Below are 19,790 nucleotides of genomic sequence, written 5' to 3'. Positions count from 1 at the left end.
TGATTTTTGTTCTGATTCTTATCTCTCAGTCTTTGTGCTTAGGTTTCTCCTTGCCAATAGTAATGATTCATTTTACAAGGTATGTTCAAAATTATAAATTGTAATATTCTTCTAAAAGCGCTAGAAGAAAGTCAAAATAGAAGAGGAAATGGTGTTGCCTTTGCCCTTCTATTTCTCAAGTCCTCTCTTTTCCATTTCAGAACATCTCATTTTAGTCCTGTCCAAATTTTATTATTTTCCCCAAGAGTTGCTTCTTTATATTACTGTATCATTCCAACTCTTTTTGCAGGTTTGTCATTGTCTTTAAAGTATCTAATTCTTAGGTTTCCCCTATATTTGCCAAAATATTTGTCTCTTCCTCTTCTCTGATTTCCTTCCACTCTTTTATTTTTCTTTTGTTTTCCACTGAATTTGTATATTTAGGATTACCTTCCACTGCTATTCTGGATTGGTATTTTAATAGCCATCAAAAATCTAGGTCAAGGAAACTTTTCAGATCTCCTAATTACCTGGCGGTGACTGATAAAAAGGACTAAATGATAGTGATTACTTCTTACTGTTTTTATTCACATTGGAATATATTCTTTCTCTCCTGGTTTATACCATTGTAGAAGGAAAAGTGTTGGAGCTGATTCATTGTCTAATTTCCGGTTTTCTGGTTTGGTTACCTCTTATCAATGTTTGTTTCTTTTATTTCAAGCAATATTATTGCCACCACTTCTAAAAGTGATTACAGTCATATTTTATTTCTCAATCCTGTTTATCATTTATAAATATTATTTCAAGGGACAACTCAAAATTAATCTTTCTTCTCAGAGCAAAAGAGTAAGAGGATCTTAGTGTAGCACAAAGAGGTCACCAATTCTCTATCACACTCTTCCTGCTCAGCTGGTTATCCTGGATTTTCTTAGACTCCAGGATAAAGTTATGATCAAGATTAAAATGTATTCCCCTGAGTCTTCAGACCTACAATGGGAGCAGCAGTAGTTTAGCACTTGGCCAGTAGCAGTGAGCACCTCCTGGAGAAATTCCCCTTTGCACAATGTCTCTGCTTGCCTCTTAATTTTATCTGTTAGTCAACACATAGTTATCCCATCTTTGCATTTTTACATTATTTGTAGGCAGGACCTGAAACTTTAAGTTTTTGGCCAAAGCTAGAGAGACAGTCCTATATTGCAAACTATAGTTGACAAAGTGTCTAAACTGTGACTTGGGGGGCTTGACTTTTAGTTCTACACACAGAAGAATATGCTGACACTAAATATTAATAGTTGTGTGATTTGGGACAAAATAGTGTTTACCTTTCTAGGCTTCAGATTCCCAGGCTGTGAAGTTGAGGAATTAAAATACAATATTGCCAAACTTGTGCTATTTACATGCACTTTACATGTATTAGCTCACTGAATTCTCATAATAACTTTATGAGAGAAGAAATTCAGTACCTTTATTTTTTACATTTTACAGATAAGGAAACTGAGGATTAAAATGTTAATATCTGTCAAAGTATTAACTATTATTATCTAGTAAGTGGTGTTGCTGGAACTTGAACTGCAGAGCCCATGCTTTTCCAGCTCTAAAATTCTGTATATGTAAGAATGCCACAGATGAAGAGAATATCAGTATAGGCTTTGTATAAAAAATTTATTTCCAGAGTAGAAAGGAATGAAAGTGATGAGTACCATTATCTGAGATTGATCCAGAGTGCATCATATCCTGCTACCTTCTAATAATCTCTGTATTTCTTCTATTTCTCTCATTTTGTGTTTCATTTGCAAAGATACTAGTAAATCACAATGTCTGTTTACTCAGTATCTCCCTTATAATGTAACATATTTCATCACCTTTCTCTTCATTTTAAAAGTCTAGGTTAAGTTATCTAATATAGGAACCTGAAATAATAAACACTGACATAGCATGCATTTAACTGGCATTGCTCAAGTTAGAGTTCCTTCTATGAAGAAATTTTGAAATAGAAATTTTGTGATTTTGTTTTGATGCCAGCCTTTAGAAGAAGTACAGAGTAGATATTCAAAGTATGATCAACTCTGTTACTTATGTAAATGAAGGTGCAGAAAATCCAATTAATTAATTACTGACTTTGGAATGTAGTCAGGAGTACACCATCAGACACAGTTCCTCTGTGCGCACAAACATTCTTAGGTGCTTGTCTCCTGTGATCCCAGCTCAGAGCCTTCCTGACATGGCTTTTAGAGTCTTCTATTCTAGACTTGGCCTTGTTGTTAGAAGCCTGGCACCCACAGAATAGAAGGAAGCTGCAGAATATTTTTAATGATAATTTTTCAAGTTAAGAAGATATCTCTTTTATAAGTTATCATCAAACAGATTTATATATATCACAGTTCTGTACTTCAACAAAAATTTGTATCCAACAAAAATTTGTAAGTTCAGCTTCGTACATATCTGGTTAATAGGAGGTAATGAATGAAATATGTCCCTGGCTATTGCTCCCATCAGGCTATTTAGTGTTCATTTGGCAGACTCTCGGTTGGTGGGGGGCGGGGCTGGGGGGGTAGGTACTTCCTTGGGTTTTGTATTATAGTAAAGTGTGTATGTATATATGTGTGTGTGTTGTAATTAGCCCAAAACTAGCCATAATTTACTTTACTTTTTTTGTTTCTTTGTATTTTGAGATAGGGTCTTGTTCTGTCTTCCAGGATGGAGGGCAGTGGCACAGACACGGCTCACTGCAGCCTCAACCTCCTAGTCTCAAGCGATCTGCCCACTTCAGCTCCCCCAAGTAGCTGGGACCACAAGCACGGGGCACCATGCCCAGCTAATATTTCAATTTTTTGTAGAGACAGGGTTTTGCCCTGCTGTCTGCAGTATTAAAGGTATTCCCGGGCCAGGTGTGGTGGCTCATGCCTGTAATCCCAGCACCGTGAGAGGCTAAGGTGGGAGGATCACTTGAGCCCAGGAGTTGGAGACCAGTCTGGGCAACATAGTGAGACCGTCTAAGAAACAAGGTATTCCTGGAGATCATGGTTTTGCTTTTTGTTTTTGTTTTATTAAAAAGTCTTTACATTTTGTTCATTGGAAAGAGTTTATTGGATTTTTTAAATGTTTTTTTCCCTTTTATCCCTTTCAAATTGCTAATTACAGTAGATTTTTTAAAATGTTATAGATGAGTAATATCCTGTTAGGAACCAGAATTGGTAGCAGGATATTGTTAGAGAAGGCTGTGAGAATGATATTCCATTAACTTTATGTAGAAATTTTCTTCCAAGAAGCTTAAAATGATTTGCAATACCTGGAGCCACGTAAGAACAGGTGATATTAACTCCATTTTACAGAAAAGGAAATATATTGGGAAAGAGAAAGAAAGTAAATCATCTAAGAACAAAGTTGCACAGAGACTGAGCCAGTCTGGTTTGCAGGAGATAGGAGAGTAATCAATTTTTAAGGAATCTGAAGATGTGGATTCCTCAGGGGTCAGTTCTACTGAGTGGAAATCCTAAAGGTCTTTTCCTATTTCCCTGAGGACTCATATTCTCCTTTCCTGCTTCATTTTTCTTTACAGAATTATTGACGTGGCATGCTGTAATGTTTCAGTTTTGTAGTTGTCTATCTCCCCACAGTGGAATATGAGTTCTGTGAAAGCAAGGATTTTTGTCTCCTTTGTTCAAAGCTGTATCCCTGAGAATGGCACCTAAGTATACTTACTCCTTGGGCATGGTGGGTACTCAGTAAATATTTATTAATGAATATAATGAATATTGTGGTATTGAGTAACTCTGATGGCTGGGAGATCACTCTAGAATAAAACATGCTTATCACATTTTTAAAGTATGTTATAAGGTGGATTATTTTGAGTGTGTGTGGCTTGATATAGCAGGCTATGTTCCTTTACTCTTCTGACTTACCAACAGCCTCGTGTGTTGTTATTTCAAAATCATAAATATGGCTGTAATCAGTATGTTTAAGGTGCTCCTTTACACAGGATTTTTAAATTTTTTCTTTAGTTTGATAGCTTAAACCTTGCTGTTTAGGATATTTTGGTTTTCCAAGAATGATTTATTCAGGTCCTGATTTTAAACCTTTGATTTTAGGATATTAGCGTGCATCCAAAGGACCTTACCTTCTTAGTACTTAAATTTGTGATTACCCGTTCTGGTTTTTAGATACCCTAAAGCACAGTTTTTAATCTTGTTTGTGTGTGCCACAGGCCCCTTTGAGAATGTGATCATTGTTATTGACCATAGGCACAAAATACACACAAATACTTAACATACACAATTTTGCATAAAATCTCAGTGAGTTGACTCTCTAAGACATATCTAGAGATCTAAGGACTCCAGATGAAAAGCAACTATCCTAACATAATCCCAATTATTTCAAGAAATTAAACCAAATTCTCAAAACAAATTTACCTTCAGTTTACTTAATTTGAAAAGTACTTGTATGTATTACTTAAAGTCAGACAGACAACAATATTGTGATGCAGTTATAAGAAAGTGGCCTGACCTTAGGTGAAGGAACTCCAGAAGTAAAAATTGATGTCTGACAAAGATCTTCTTATGTGTAGTAAATGAATTCTGCTCTCCAAATATGAAGTGAAACTGCATCAATTCAAGAAATGCCTACAATCCCTTCAGCATGGTGGTTCCACTGAAAGGCCCTTAAGAATAACGGATATTTTACTCACATGTTTTGAGATTAGTAGAACCGTCGTGGCTTTATGTGTCTATTTAGTTACTACATTCAGAAAACTGAGGGTATAAAACAAACTTTAACTTTGTTTTCTTCCCGTGTCTTTAGTTTCCAGTCTTTAAGCTCCATTGCTTTCCCTAGGGCAGTGTTCTTTAGGCCCTTAAATTTCTATTTGCTCTAATGGAAAACTTTATATATTTTTTAAAGCCAAGATTTGTTGTTGCTTGCTTGTTTTGAATAACAGATAAGCTACTTTACATACTCTTTTTATCTGGGTTCTAAACTTACAGTTCATGGATAAATTTTATTTTGTTCTATACTTTTTAATATATTGGAATCTGTGTTTAATTTACAAATTTGGAAACACCAGAGTAACCAAAATGATTTAAAAACTAAGGTTTTTTTAAAATTGTAAGCACAAAGGCCTGGTGCATTATTCCTCAAGATAAGAAGTTAGACTACAATATTTAGAAATTCTTGTCTCTAGGCTGGGTGTGGTGGCTCACGCCTGTAATCCCAGCACTTTGTGGGGCTAGGGCAGGTGGATCACTTGAAGTCAGGAGTTGGAGACCAGCCTGGCCAACATGGTGAAACCATGTCTCTACCAAAAAATTTAAAAATTAGCTGGGTGTGGTAGTGCACACCTGTAGTCCCAGCTACTCAGGAGGCTGAGGCAGGAGAATCGCTTGAATCTGGGAGGCAGAGGTTGTAGTGAGCCAAGATTGTGCCACTGTATTTCTGCCTGGGTGACAGAATGAGACCCTGTCTCAAAAAAAAAAAAAAAAAAAAAAAAAAATTCTGGTCTCTGAATCTAAAGCAGAGGCAGCATAACTATCTTCACGACTCCTGTTTGTTGTTGTTGCTTTAAATCTAGAATACCCTGTCATGATGGAAATTGACTATAATACAACTGTAATTTTAAATAGCACATTAAATTATTATGTACCTATCACTTTTGTGCGTGCTAGTATATCAAAAAGGTATTGTTATACATATATAAATATATGACATTTGAGAAACACTGTTGGTATTTTACTTCTGTAGAATAATTCAGATGAGACTAAAGGCCTTATAAGTCTACTTATTTTGCTATTTTAAAAAAAAAAAAAAGTATAGATTTCCATTCGTTTTTTCCCCCAAACCATTTTCTACAGTCTTTTGTATTATCTACTTTAAAACAACAAAAAACATCTTTTATATGATCTAGGCTTTGTGTTCCCTCATTTTAATATCTTCTACCTGGAATTATATTGATGATCTGACTTTAAAATTCTTGTGGTCAAGTTTCTTTAACTTCTGAAGGACTGTATTGGCTCTATATTGGAATTAAGTCCTATTCAGTTTTCCATTCTTAGAGTAAAATACAGTTTTGATGGAGGGGAGGGAAAAGTGGCAGAATATTCCATTTGTGAAATATAATCATCAAATTTCAAGCTAGAAAAAACAATCAGTCCAGTCTTCTCATTTTATATATGAAGAATTGAACTCAGATTAGTGCTTATCAAAGAATTCCAATCTGCTGCTATATCTTACTGGCCAATATTTTTAGCATAGTTTATTTATTTATTATAAACCTTTTGGGGTCACTGCAGGGAAATTAAAAAGCACATGTCAGCAGAGATTTCCCCCTGAACATTCCATTAAGAAGATATAGACTGCCGCAGGGTCTCTTTCCTCTTTGATCCCTAGTCAACTACAGGCATACTTTAAAATAAGTGAACAGACCAAAAATACCTCACCACAGTTTAGCAATACTTTACGTGGTGCATGTGTCATTTATTCTGCCACAGAATCACTGCACATCAGGTGGTCTGTAGTCCTGGATCTTCTCAGAGCAATATCACCTCTTTATAAAGTCTAGGCTAAGAATCTTACCAAGACTAGAAGGGGCACTGGATTCTCTAGATGCCTTATAATGTGGTTTTCCTATTTGTACCAAATTCTGTGACAGATACTATAGTAATTCAAAGAGCAACACAACACCTTAGCCTTGTCCAACTGAGGAGAATCAACTTAAACAGCAGGAGGCATTATGTATTGAATGCCAGATGTAGGTGTAGGCATAAATGCATTAGAGTGCTGATTTATTTATTTTCTCTTTTTCTTTCTTTCTTTCTTTCTTTCTTTCTTTCTTTCTTTCTTTCTTTCTTTCTTTCTTTCTTTCTGTCATTAGAGACAGGGTCTCTCTCTCTGTCACCTCTCTCTGTCACCCAGGCTGGAGTGCAGTGGCACCATCAGAGCTTACTATAACCTTGAACTCCTGGGCTCAAGCCATCCTCCCACTTCTGCCTCCCAAAGCTCTGGGATTACAGGCATGAGCTACCATTCCTGGCCTAAAGTGCTGATTTTCATTTTTTCAAGAGTCATTCAAATGACTGTGGTAATTCTGTCTCAGATTCCCTATGATTAAAGAAAAAACAAATGAAAAAATATTAAATTTTAACCCAGGCAACTTCAAGTAGCTTAAAGTTAGAGAAAGAAGTACTACAGTCCGGGTGCGGTGGCTCACGCCTGTAATCCCAGCACTTTGGGAGGCCGAGGCAGGTGGATCACGAGGTCAGGAGATCGAGACCATCCTGGCTAACATGGTGAAACCCCGTCTCTACTAAAAATACAAAAAATTAACTGGGCATGGCGGCATGCACCTGTAGTCCCAGCTACTCGGGAGGCTGAGGCAGGAGAATGGCATGAACCCGGGAGGTGGAGCTTGCAGTGAGCCGAGATGGTGCCACTGCACTCCAGCCTGGGCGACAGAGCAAGACTCTGTCTCAAAAAAAAAAAAAAAAAAAAAAAAAAAGAAGTACTACAACCCAGTCATACCTTCTAAATTTTTACTGTTATCAGTTAATTACAGGTTGTTATATTCCTGTGTGTTTAATACTCATCTTTAGCATTTTCTTTAGGAGTCTAGAATGACTAGATACCATGGCTTTTTTTTTTCAGATTGTAAACTGACTTTCTAAAATGTACCAATCAGTCCCTGTTAAATTTTAGTTAAAACAGTAAATTTAGCTTTAAACAGAATTCAACATATTGGAAGTTTTGTTTGAATTTATCTCAACTAGCTTGATTTTAATTCTTCGCAAACTGCATTCCATAAGGGAAGAAATAAATACTAAGACCTTTTATGTAGAAGGTGAAGAGTATTTGAATATCATATCTATTTAGCAAAAATTGTTTCTAGTACCATTTTCTTATTATTGACTTTAGTCATAAATGTGTGTTATTCCTGTTCCCTAAAATGTGTTGATTTTAGTATGATATGAGGCATATAGAGAACCATTTAAGAAGAATGTACCGATCCACTGTGACATTAGGTTATTTTACTCTAAAGTTAGTAAACTCTATGACATACATTAAACATTTAAAAATTATCATTGGTGAGTATTTGGGATTACTGAGTTGCCCCCTTGGGGTATATGAAAAGTCCCTAGGCACCTTATGATCATTTTAAGTAAAAGCAAGTCACTTAATCTTTCATCTGTTGGTGTAGAGTTGGGGGAGAACTAAATAATCTTTAAGATCCTTTCCAGCTCTAAACTTTTAGAGTTTATGCTTATTCTAGAAATAGATTTCATATATTAAAGGGACATGTATCTTGCCTATTTAGTTCTTTTTCTTTGTCCTTAGTTGTTGGACATCAAAGACAAAATTTGTTTGGTAGGTGATAGAAAAAAATCTGACTAAATTAATGTCTTACAATAAATAGGTAGCAGAACTAAGCATGAGACTCAGTTGTACTCCCAGTCTTCTGGTCCTGTACTGTCTTTGCATTCCAGTTAACACACTCAAAAAAGGAGCCTTTCTCTGGAGTTTCATATTTTAAAATATCTGTAGTAGATTGAGGACCCTTATTGTAAATGCTTCGTCAAGGTTGTCCCAATGATCAGAGCACACTGACTTCAATCACTAACCTGCACCTAAGTGAATCTAACCTTTGGAAAAACCTGAAAGAGCCAGAGACAACCTAGAACCAGTCTGGATGAAAGTAAAAGGAGTAGGATGCTTCTGATCCTAAGTACTCTGTGAAGTGAATTATTAGAGATAAGCTGAATACTTATACTAAAAATAAGATTTCAGAGCAGCTGGTGGGTGTTCACCCATGGGGTGAGGGGGATAGAGCTCTAGTATGTAAGCATCTGGAGGCAACTGGGAAGAGTGGAAATGGGGCCATCTGATTAGTAACTATGCCTTGTTATTAAACCGTGACTTTCTGCATTGTGTATTCCCAGAGTTGGAAAACTTCCGCTGGCAAAAAAAAAGAGAAGGGCCGCCGTGCTGTTGCTGAGGGCCATACAGTAGACACAAAAGCGCCTTCTTAGAGGCCTTCAGCAGAGGCAACTTGTACAGGCAGGCCTGTTCCTCTCAAAGACTGGGAATCAGATTCTTTCCCCAGGGGGTTTCCAACTAGTTTGCACTTCAGAAAAACCTTTTCTTTCTCCTGCTGTTCACGCCCTGCAAAGAATTTTCTTCCAACCAAAGAAATTGTTTTATAATCAAAGATCCTTGTCCTTAGTTGTTGGACATCAAAGAAAGTTTGGAGGAGACTGGGGGATTATGTGAGTGCCTAGAATTTATTTTGAATGCAAACTTGCAACATTAGCAAGTCCCCCAAAGAATATACTCATCTCAGAGCTGGGAGAGAGCCTAATATAACTAAGTCTCTATTCTTCCTTGGTTGGATGTGCCTCAGTAAGATACAAATGAGTTGAATTGCCTTATCTGGACTTAATTCATGTATGTTTGGTTCTTGAGGTACACGCTTACTGGAAGAGGTCCCCCAACCCATCTTCCCTTTTAAAACTGGTGTTTGGAAACATCAAACACTACTAATAAACTCGAAACAACAACCTACCCCCCCACCCCAAAAAAACTCCTTTTTTAAACCAATGTTTGACTCTTGGGAGTTTGGGGTTTCTCCCAGGACAGTTGATATCACCAAATGTTGGGAGCCACATTCCCTGCATTCCTCTACTGTTGCTGAGGTGTTGATGATGTCATTTTCTCCCACAAAGGAAAACCTCAGCACCCTGAGGGCCTGAACTCAGGTCTTGGCAGGTAAATCAAGGAAGAACTTACTTTTGGATTTCAACTGATTGAGTCAGGCATAAAGAGACACAACCACCATGTTAAGTATTAGTGTCACAGCCTCATCTCTGGGACCTGAATAGACAATTTATCATTTGAAGAAAATTAAGACTATAACTTTAAGAAATTATCTTCTGGGTAAGAACAATGATTCATTGAATATTTTGGTTCTTACACTTTGGGGCATTTATAGGGCATTGTTCTCAGAGATTTTGGCTCCCTCTTAAATATCCTTCTCTGAATCCACAAATTTTCCAAGCCTTTCCGGAACCTGTTTGTAGATTATCTAGCTTTCCTTCCTTGAGCAGATTAACAACAACATAAACAAGAATTAGGGGAAAAAAATGATGGATAGGGCAAATTTAGGCAGAATTATGCCTTGGGCAAAGTACATTCTTGTTATTTTATCTTGGTTCTGTGGTTATGAACTGAAGAGAGCATTTGCTCTAGAAGATTTCCAATCTCTTCCTATCCCTTCATCACAACCACAGAGTAGTGGTTAGAAATAGATTCCAGGAACACCAGAAATGTTCAGTATTTCCAATGGTGACAGCTAACAGTGCCCTCACAGGGATCCTTTGAGCACTCTTCCTCTGAGCCTTCTTGTGGTGTCCTTGTGGTCAGGAGACACATCATCAATCACAAAGACTTGCCCTGGAGACAAACCTGGTAAAAATAATCAATTGTCTATCTTTGCCACTAGAAACAATCCTTTTGTTTTTACTTGGTTCTGAACAAACATGCTGTAGTTTTTTAGAGAAAGACCGTCTCTTTCATGGAATCATCAACTGACCATTCTCAAAAATTTGAGATGTGCTAGTTTGTGTTAGGAAGGTAAGGTAGGATCTGGGAAGTAAGTAGGATTTGCCAAAGGTTTTTATTCTACTCAGCAGTGCTAACTTGTCTGTGTTACTCCTATGCAGGTATTAGATTATAGGTTTTTTTTTTTTTTTTATGCTAGGAATATATGGATAAAATTCACTGAAATGAAAGTGTCCCTTTAGTTTATACAGGGGAATAGGGAATTGAATTTATAAGGAGAGAGCCCAGCCTGCAACTGACCTTTCATTTTCATAGTCTTATTTCTCCTGAGTTGATGTAAGCTTAAAACAAATGAATGTATTATATAAAATGTCCTACTTTTTCAAGCAATGTCAATCTTCAGGGTATGGAATAGGATTTGGCATTTTGTTTCCATTTTTATTGTTTTGTTTTCTAAAGGGAGGTTTGAGTTAGAGCCTGTCTGGCAAGATTCCATACTTCTACCATACCACCTGTCCTGGCAGAGACAATGGAATCAAAAGTCAAGTTCTTTATGACTGCACCTGCCTCGTAAGTGTTGCCAGAAGATCTGATTTTCTCTTGTAGCTAAACTCTACACAGAAACGAGGGCTTGGCACCCAAACAGTGGGTGCATACCCAAACACATGGATGTTCCAATATCAGGAGGACTAGTACCACTAGTTCTCCAGATGACTTGTAAAATAGTCTTTGGCATGACATTCAACGATTATTTAATTTATCAAATGGAGGAGAAGTAACTTTCTGGTTTACCTGGTTTTCAAGACTTTCATGAGGATCTATTAATAAGCATGAATCATTTGGTAATTATTATTTGAAAATTACCTGTCCAGTGCTGCATCTAGTGAGCATGAAGGAAAGTATGTTCTCCCCAAAATAGATCAGGAACATATCTCTGAAGTCAGACCACCATGCAAAGTTCCTAAGGTGAGAAACTACCATTTCTGCCTGTTGCTTTTTCCTTTTCCCAGAAATGTAGGTTACCCTATGGTCACCAGTTGAATGCTCTGTGATTAGGCAGTTGTTTTGTAGGCAGTCTGACATCCTAGATGAGAACTTCTTTCCTTTTGAATATCAGAGTGTTTCTTGGGTTCCCTCAGGGCAGAGTTACTTCATTATCTTCTAACTTATGTATAACTGGATGCCTTCTGGCCTAAGAACATAATTTCTATCACCAATCAAATAATTAAGATAATATGCCCACCAAATGGTGCTCTTTGCACAGGATTCATATATAATGATATAATATGATAATAAGGCATAAAAGGTATTCTAAAATGAGGAGCGACATCCTACAGTGAAAAGTGCTCTCAGTAGACTTGTATTTTAATCTCAGTGCTGATCCTTCTTAGCTTTATGACGTAAAGAAAAATTGCTTAACCTCTTTGAGCTTGTGGCTTCCTGAGTAAAATGGGAATAATAGTAATAAATGGCCTAACTACCTGAAATGAAATAATGTATGAGTGTTGCCTTTGAAAATGGCAAATGTTAGGTATTATTATTAATAGTAATTAAACTTGAGCTATTCCTTATTCACCTAATTACTATCAGAAATATTACTAAGTGTGAAGGTTATTGATTTAGACTCCGTTAACCTATTTGCGTTCAATTTGGCATCAGCTTAACATAACTAAGCAAGACTGTTTGTATTTTTAATGTAGCCGAAAGGACAAGGCTTTAGCTTCAAAATTTTGTGGGTTAAGGGTGCTGATTAAATATTACCATAATGTAGTACAGGTAGCCTTAGTGGTTTAAAGAATGACTAATAGTATGTGAGTTCTGGGGTGGGAACTTAATACCTGTTACTTGTGGTACGGTGAATCACTTATCTGCCCTGGACCTTTGTATGTGTGCCTGTTCCGTACTGGTAACCCCATTAGCTTCCTTCCATGATCAATGAGGTGATCACTGACACAAAGCAGCTGTTTTCTAAGTTTTGACTTATCAGAGTCTGAGGGATCCTAGAACCACATTATATATCACTCTTCCATCTTCCCTTTTTGAAAATTTAGAGTATTTTTTTAAATTGCTGCTATTGGCTGGGTGCGGTGGCTCACGCCTGTAATCCTAGTACTTTGGGAGGCTGAGGCGGGTGGATCATGAAGTCAGGAGTTCAAGACCAGTCTGAACAGCATGGTGAAACCCAGTCTCTACTAAAAATACAAAAATTAGCCAGGCGTGGTGGTACGCAACTGTAATCCCAGCTACTTGGGAGGCTGAGGCAGGAGAATCACTTGAACCTGGGAGGTGGAGGTTGCAGTGAGCTGAGATGGCACCACTGCACTCCAGCCTGGGTGACAGAGTGAGACTTTGTCTCAAAAAAAAAAAAAAAATTGCTGCTACTCTGGGACAGTTGCTCAGAATGCTGGCGCTTCAGCTTCTGGTGTGTAGCTTGCAGCCATGTTTCTAAGGACCAGAAGGGAAGGAGTTCAGGATTGTGAAGGGGACTACTTTCCCCAGTTCATTATACTGTGCTGGTCCCAACATGTTTTCTGAAACTCAGCAGATACGATTCTATAGCCTGCTTGGAAATTATCCCGCAAGTCTCTAAGACTCTCAGTTCCCTATCTGAGAAGAATTGGATCAAAGTAAGAATAAGCAGAGTTTTTGTCATAGCATCTATCAAATATTTGTCTCCCTGAAAAAATTTTCAGGTAAAGACCATCCTTTGAGCCTTCTCAGAGACCAACAGTCTGCAGTATAAAAAAATCTGTGTTCAGTGTTTTGTAACTTTACCAATTTGAAGTCTCTTCCCAAAATAAGTAAATAATGGGATAAAGGTAATTATGGGTTTCCTCATCTTTTCTACTTACCTGTTCCCTGTTATGATTAAACACACATGGCTTATAACTCTTTTGGAAACAAACTGAATTACCATTATTATCCTTTCAACACTTGCATGGTATTATAATTCATTTCAATCACCAGTACAACACAGTGGGAGTTAGGAGACCAGTGGGGCGTGGGGAGGACCTGGAGAAGGGCAAACATTTTCCTTTTTATTGGTTTTGGGAAGCCTCCTTCTTCTCCGAAGGCACTTCTTGGGGAAAACTGTTTTCTTCCCAAAGCCTAATAAAGATTAGTAAGAGATGTCTGCAAAGATTTAGAAGCTCTTTGAAAGAAAGACAAGGATAAACATTCACTATCACTGTTATTATCATTAAAAAGGAAAGCCCAGCATGTGATGTTTTGGGTCACTTCCAGTGGCCTTGTTTGATGTTCACGGTTCCTTTTTTGACCTTTACTTCTTGATATCTTTATACATTTATTGAGGCTATTGGACAAAGTCTTGAGATACTGAGCAATACAGTGCTAAGAATGAATGATTGCTAGACTCCATTTCTATGGGTGGAATTTCTGAAAATGTGTTTTGTCTTTAGATACCCTGTTGTTCCAGTTTGGCAATATTGGTGGCAAGGTTAATTTAATATCTGGTCACTTGAATTTTTACTTCCTATTCTGTACCTTACCCCAGAACCAAAGTTCTATAGGATACTTTTCATTAAATAAATAATAAATTAACTGGAATTTTTTCTCTGCTATGCTTATTAACCAGAGATATATCAAAAAAGAAGCAGATGTAATGGACCTAAAAAGCAAATAAGAACTTCCCAGGGAGATTGTAAGTTTAGCCCAGTCTCTTATATTATTTCATGCCAAAAATGACCATAATGATATCCTTGTAGTGTAGACACCAAGTAAAGGCTAACTTTCATTCAACATGATGTATTTAGGCAGGAAAGTGCACCAATACATTGAAGAAAGGATTTCAACAGTACAGATTGAATTTTTAAGGACTTCCTGGTCTTCAGAAAGGTAAATAAATCACTGTCAACCTAAAAGGAAGAAGCTGAGGCAAAATTAATATAAGTGGAGAGCTTATTTGAGCCAAGTTTAAGGATTGCAACCCCAGAGCCTAGATTCAAGTTGCCCTGAATATACACTCTGATTAGCAGCAGTTACAAGTGGATTTTTAAAAGCAAAAAAGAGGGATAGGGAGTGGGCTGATACAAAGTTGTTTGTCAGAAATTCTCATTGGTTTACAGAAATAACATTGATTAGTAATTGGCTATACATTTTTAAGCTACAGGGTATGGGTTATAGTGTCTGGTGTGGCATTATTAGATTAATTTATAGCTATTTGTGGCAATAGCAAGCAGTTTCAAGAGATGAATAACATAGCCTAAAGCGGGGAGTAGGACTTGACTGCGGTCTCATTTTAATGTCTCTCTGGGCCTGATAATTAAAAGGACTTGCATTCTTCATATAAAAGCTATTTTCTTTTCTCATCACAAACTTTTTTTTTTTTTTTTGAGACGGAGTTTCACTGTTGTCACCCAGGCTGGAATGCAATGGTGCAATCTCGGCTCACTGTAACCTCTGCCTCCCAGATTCAAGTGATTCTCCTGCCTCAGCCTCCTGAGTAGTTGGCATTACAGGTGCCTGCCACCATGCCCAGCTAATTTTTGTATTTTTTTAGTAGAGACAGGGTTTCACCATGTTGGCCTGGCTGGTCTGGAACTCCTGACCTCAGGTGGTCCTCCCGCCTCAGCCTCCCAAAGTGCTGGGATTACAGGCATGAGCCACCATGCCTGGCCAAAAACTTTTATTATTAGCGACTTGTGCTAATCAGAATATTCTGTTCCATAATTGGTAGTTGTATTTGAGAATTAGGTAGAATTATCTCTTTTCTTTTCATGTTTTTGGTCTTTTCTTTTGAGTTTGTGGGATTGCTGTGTTTCATAAAAAATGGCACATTCTTCATAATCCTAGTTGATGAATTGTTTCACATTTTAAATGAATATCCTGTAATAAAGTTTGCTTGTACACATACATTTATTTTTCCCCCTCTAGGTTTTCAGTGGTTTTCTTTTCTTTCAATCTCTACCCTGATTTCTGTATTCCTACACACACGGAGTTTTTTTTTTTTTTATTTCTAAGCTTAGCTGTCATCAAATAAAGGTAAGCTAGAAAATCAAAGCCCTGAATCTTTCCATCAGAACCAAAGGAACTCAACAAGTTCTGAAGGAAATTGAAGTTGAAGATTGTGTATGTCATACCAACCAGTGACAGAGAATTATTTGAAATTAGCATCATATTTGATTTTATACAAAAGCAACTACTATGGTAGTGTGTGTGTGTATATATAAAGGATAAAAAATGTTTAGGTTAGAATGATTATGTCTATATATTGTATAGATGTATTCCATACATATATACATATTCCATATTGTATATATTCTATAGAGAGAATATTCTAAATCCTTATTTTCAATCCTTTAGAGGAAGCTACTAACTCTAAGCAAACCTCAGACCAGTCTCTAAAAATAGCTCCCTTTGGAGACCCTGAAGCCAAATTAAATATCTGGCCTTTGAAATTTTGCCTGTTGAGAGCATGGTTACATGTAAAATGGATAACCTTAGGACAGTACCCGCTCTGTTTTTTCCCCCTCAAGTCCCCTCTTCCACTCATTATTTTAGTTAATTGTACTTAGTAGAAAACAGTTAAATCTGACCTCCTCACAGACTGACTTCTTTCCCTCTGTTTCAGCCTTGTCTAAGGCTTATCTGTTTCAGCATGTGGGATCTGAGTTTTTTTCCTGTTAAATGGTTGCGTGCTCATCTCTCCTCAGTTGTGTTGACTATCTTGCCCCTTAAGAATTTTAATCTACATGGTGGTCCTTCTGTTTTTTGTCTCTTATTTTCATTTTTGGGTGATTTGAAAATCCATGCCCACTGTCAAGTCAAACGTTTCTTCTATCAACAGTTGTTATCATTTCTGTATCCTCCATATCACGTTGGTCTTTTTTAGGTTGGGATTTTGATGAGCAGGCCTGTTCCCTCCTATGTCATATGCTATACTGGGTTCACTGTCTACATTTCAATAAATGTGATAAAATAACCATCATTTTGTTGAATAAGTTGGTGTATTGCTGCTGTTGTTCCTCTGGAGACAGTTTTCTGCAGGCTACATTAACAGGCAATGGAAATGCATGCCAGGCTACATCCTAACGGTTGTGTCTTCCCATCAGAAAAAGATCCTTTTACCCCTCCCTGTCAAATGAAGGCTTAGATTTTAGAGACAATTCCAAAATACAGAAAATGAAAGAGAAGAACTGAAATCACAGCATCTGTGATTTTTCTCTATCCTTAATAGTGAGGCAGCTTCTTAGAGGATTTTATTGTAATATGTTGATAAAATGTTTATAGTCATCCCTTTGCAGTTTGTTTAGAAAGTAGTTTCTAAGCAGCAGTTCCTGCATCATCTACAGACTTTTAGCTAGAGAAACCACCTTTCTTTTTGTCAAGCTGCAAAACAAGTCTGCTCTTTTTTATTTAGTTTAACACCTGATCTTTATAGTGAGGGACTAAGTTACATGATCTTTCTTCCAAAAGAATATTTCTCAGATTTTTGTGTTCTATAGCTTTCTGATTAAATTGCCATAATAATATAATTACTTATTAGTCACAGGGAACTGTGACTATTTATTTCTAGGAGTTCAAGTGTACACAATAATAAACTGTCCCTCATAAAGGGGTAAGGGGTAATTTCATAGCTGTTGCTGTGGTAGTGGATTTGGATGCATCTGACTATGGAACCAGATCTCTGATCAGAAATAGTTGAGTTGTATATACATTTAAAGCTAGGGAACTTAACATCACATTATATTGCCTTGTATTGACAATCATCTTTCCATTATCTTTGGATAAGTAAGACATGCTATGACAGACTATTTGGCTGTCTCAAAGTCATTGCCTTATATTTTTTTCCCAAAGGAATTTCAGATCCTGTTTAATATTTGCTAGTTTTGCTAGGTACTGAAGGCAGAAAGAGGTTGTAGTAGTATCTTGTGAGGAAGGAAATCAGTGTTTCTTATCCATTTTCCATATACTGTCAATCTGTCCAAACAGACTTATTATACAGCAAACCGATAAGGAGCTTTGTTTTCCTCTCGATATACTTGCCTGCACAGCACCATGTGCCACTTTGGAGAGCTCTGTGGTGGAGTTTCAACTCTCTGGATAAGGTGGAATAGCTGAACCATTGTGCCTCCATAGATTTTCACAACCCTGAAAGTAACAGCAGTTGGGAGGATGAAAGAGGGCTATTTCCCACCCACCCCAAAAGTCCTAAAGTTCAAAGACACAGCTGGTCTTTGTCTGGTGTTTCAATGGAGCCAATGCATCTGGAGCAGCCCAGTTACTGGAGAGGTAACTATTGCAGGTACACTTCCTGTTGTTATTCTTGGAAGTATTCATCTAGGTGGCCCTTGCCCTTCCCTGTGAATCATCTCCTCAAGTCCTTCTACCCTTTTGTTGGCCTGCTTTGAACTTCTTGTCTGTTAACCTCTTTTACAAAGTAAGACCTCTAAGCATAGGATAGGAAGTGCTCCAGGTGTACTCTCACCCACGCTGTGTGAGGATTGTTCAACTATCTGGTTTCTGCATATTTCAGAAGTGCAGTGATACCTAAGTTCTTACTTTACTTGATTTCTTCTGTTTCTCTAATAACTTTCTAAATTATTTCTCTTCATTTACATAATACTCAATGCTTTACTTTTCTTCATTATTCTATTTGATATCAAGTCATAGATAAGCCGAAGACATGTTCTCTTCTTTTTTTAAGGCTATTTTCTATAAGAGCATGCGGCCACATTCTAAGAGATTCTCTGAAATTTCTTCTAAAATTCACCGTCAATGGATAGGGTTTCCTTTTGTAGTTTTACCTTTCAAACTTACCACTGACTCACATTCTTTCTTTCATTTCATTGCAACCAAGATTTCTAATTGTGTTCTAAAAATCAAACTGAACTCTTGTCTTTCCTCAAGAGAGAAGGGTATCCCCAGTAGAGAGGAGTCTAGGGAATGTTGGGAGTGCTTCTCTGAAACAACCCAACCACATCCAATTCTGTTTCTTTTGGAGACGGAGTTTCGCTCTGTTGCCCAGGCTGGAGTGCAGTGGCGCAATCTCAGCTCACTGCAAGCTCCGCCTCCCAGGTTCACGCCATTCTCCTGCCTCAGTCTCCCGAGTAGCTGGGACTACAGGTGCCCGCCACCACGCCTGGCTAATTTTTTTTGTATTTTTAGTAGAGACGGGGTTTCACCATGTTAGCCAGGATGGTCTCGATCTCCTGACCTCATGATCCGCCCGCCTCAGCCTCCCAAAGTGCTGGGATTACAGGCGTGAGCCACCGCGCCCGGCCCTCCAGTTGTGTTTCTATTCAGGGCACTGCCCAAGTAAAATGCACATGAGTTATGATCTGTTGTAGAAAGTATTACAATGAAGCGCAAACATTAAATTAATCAATTTCTTGACCTACATTGTAATCAAAATAGTACAGTTGACTATTGAACAACACAGGGATTGGGGCACTGACTTCCTGCACGTCAAAAATCTGCATATAACATATGATACCCCCAAAACCTAGCCTACTGTTGACTAGAATCCTTACTAATAACAGTAGACTAACATATTTTGCATGTTATGTGTATCATATACTGTGTTACAATAATGTAAGTTAGAAAAAAGAAAATATTACTAAGAAAATCATAAGAGAATTTTTTTTTTGAGATGGAGTTTTGCTCTGGATGCCCAGGCTGGGGTGCAGTGGCACCATCTTGGCTCAGTGCAACCTCTGCCTCCTGTGTTCAAGTGATTCTCCTGCCTCAGCGTTCCAAGTAGCTGGGACTACAGGCATCTGCCACCATACTGGCTAATTTTTGTATTTTTAGTAGAGATGGGGTTTCACCATTTTGATTAGGCTGGTCTCGAACTCCTGACCTCAGGTGATCCACCCACCTTGGCCTCCAAAAGTGCTGGGATTACAGGCATAAGTCACCGTGCCTGGCCCAAGAAAATGTATTTACTATTCATTAAGTGAAAGTGGATCATCATAAAGGTCTTCATCCTCCTTGTCTTCACCTTACTAGGTTAAGGAGGAAGATGAGGGGTTGTTCTTACCGTTTCAGGGGTGTCAGAGGCAGAAGACAATCCACGCAGTTCAAACCTGTGTTGTTTAAGGGTCACCTGTAATGTCAAATGTATCTCCTCCTCAAGGTAGATAACCCAAAGAAGAGTCTTTTAACACCAGGGCCTATGCCCCACTACACAGGGTGGGTCACCAGCTGCTCCATAATAGCAACATTAACCAGCAAGTTAGGACAAGAGAATGAAACAACCATATCCAAGTGAAGCTTCAAGGAAACACAAGGTAATAATGATTATTATATTC

The 19,790-nt window shown here is 37.7% G+C and overlaps 1 protein-coding gene across 8 annotated transcripts in view, besides 2 other annotated features; it reads left to right on the top strand.

Moving 5' to 3' along the window:
* Window positions 1–19,790, top strand: part of RNF43 (ring finger protein 43) — a 65,035-nt gene that overhangs the window by 5,001 nt on the left and 40,244 nt on the right. Inside the window, exon 1 of one of the 8 annotated variants that reach the window (NM_001305545.2) lies at window positions 9,813–9,894. The exons of the other annotated variants lie outside the window; for them this stretch is intronic. The gene's annotated coding sequence lies outside the window, so the exon portion shown is untranslated. Of the gene's footprint in view, window positions 1–9,812; window positions 9,895–19,790 lie in introns of those variants that run through there. 8 annotated transcript variants of the gene reach the window in all.
* Window positions 13,215–14,070: an enhancer, noted in NCBI's record as "OCT4-NANOG-H3K27ac hESC enhancer chr17:56475825-56476680 (GRCh37/hg19 assembly coordinates)". NCBI's record gives its function as "activates a minimal SCP1, AML or CMV promoter by ChIP-STARR-seq in primed H9 embryonic stem cells {active_cell/tissue: H9 hESC(primed)}" and the evidence as "EXISTENCE:reporter gene assay evidence [ECO:0000049][PMID:30033119]".
* Window positions 17,154–18,353: an enhancer, noted in NCBI's record as "CDK7 strongly-dependent group 2 enhancer chr17:56471542-56472741 (GRCh37/hg19 assembly coordinates)". NCBI's record gives its function as "activates an origin of replication core promoter dependent on BRD2, BRD4, P300/CBP, MED14 and CDK7 cofactors, with strong dependence on CDK7, by STARR-seq in HCT116 cells {active_cell/tissue: HCT116}" and the evidence as "EXISTENCE:reporter gene assay evidence [ECO:0000049][PMID:35650434]".

Source organism: Homo sapiens, chromosome 17 (assembly GCF_000001405.40).
Source record: "Homo sapiens chromosome 17, GRCh38.p14 Primary Assembly".
Classification (NCBI taxonomy): domain Eukaryota; kingdom Metazoa; phylum Chordata; class Mammalia; order Primates; family Hominidae; genus Homo; species Homo sapiens.
This window is presented reverse-complemented; position numbering and strand designations above follow the sequence as displayed.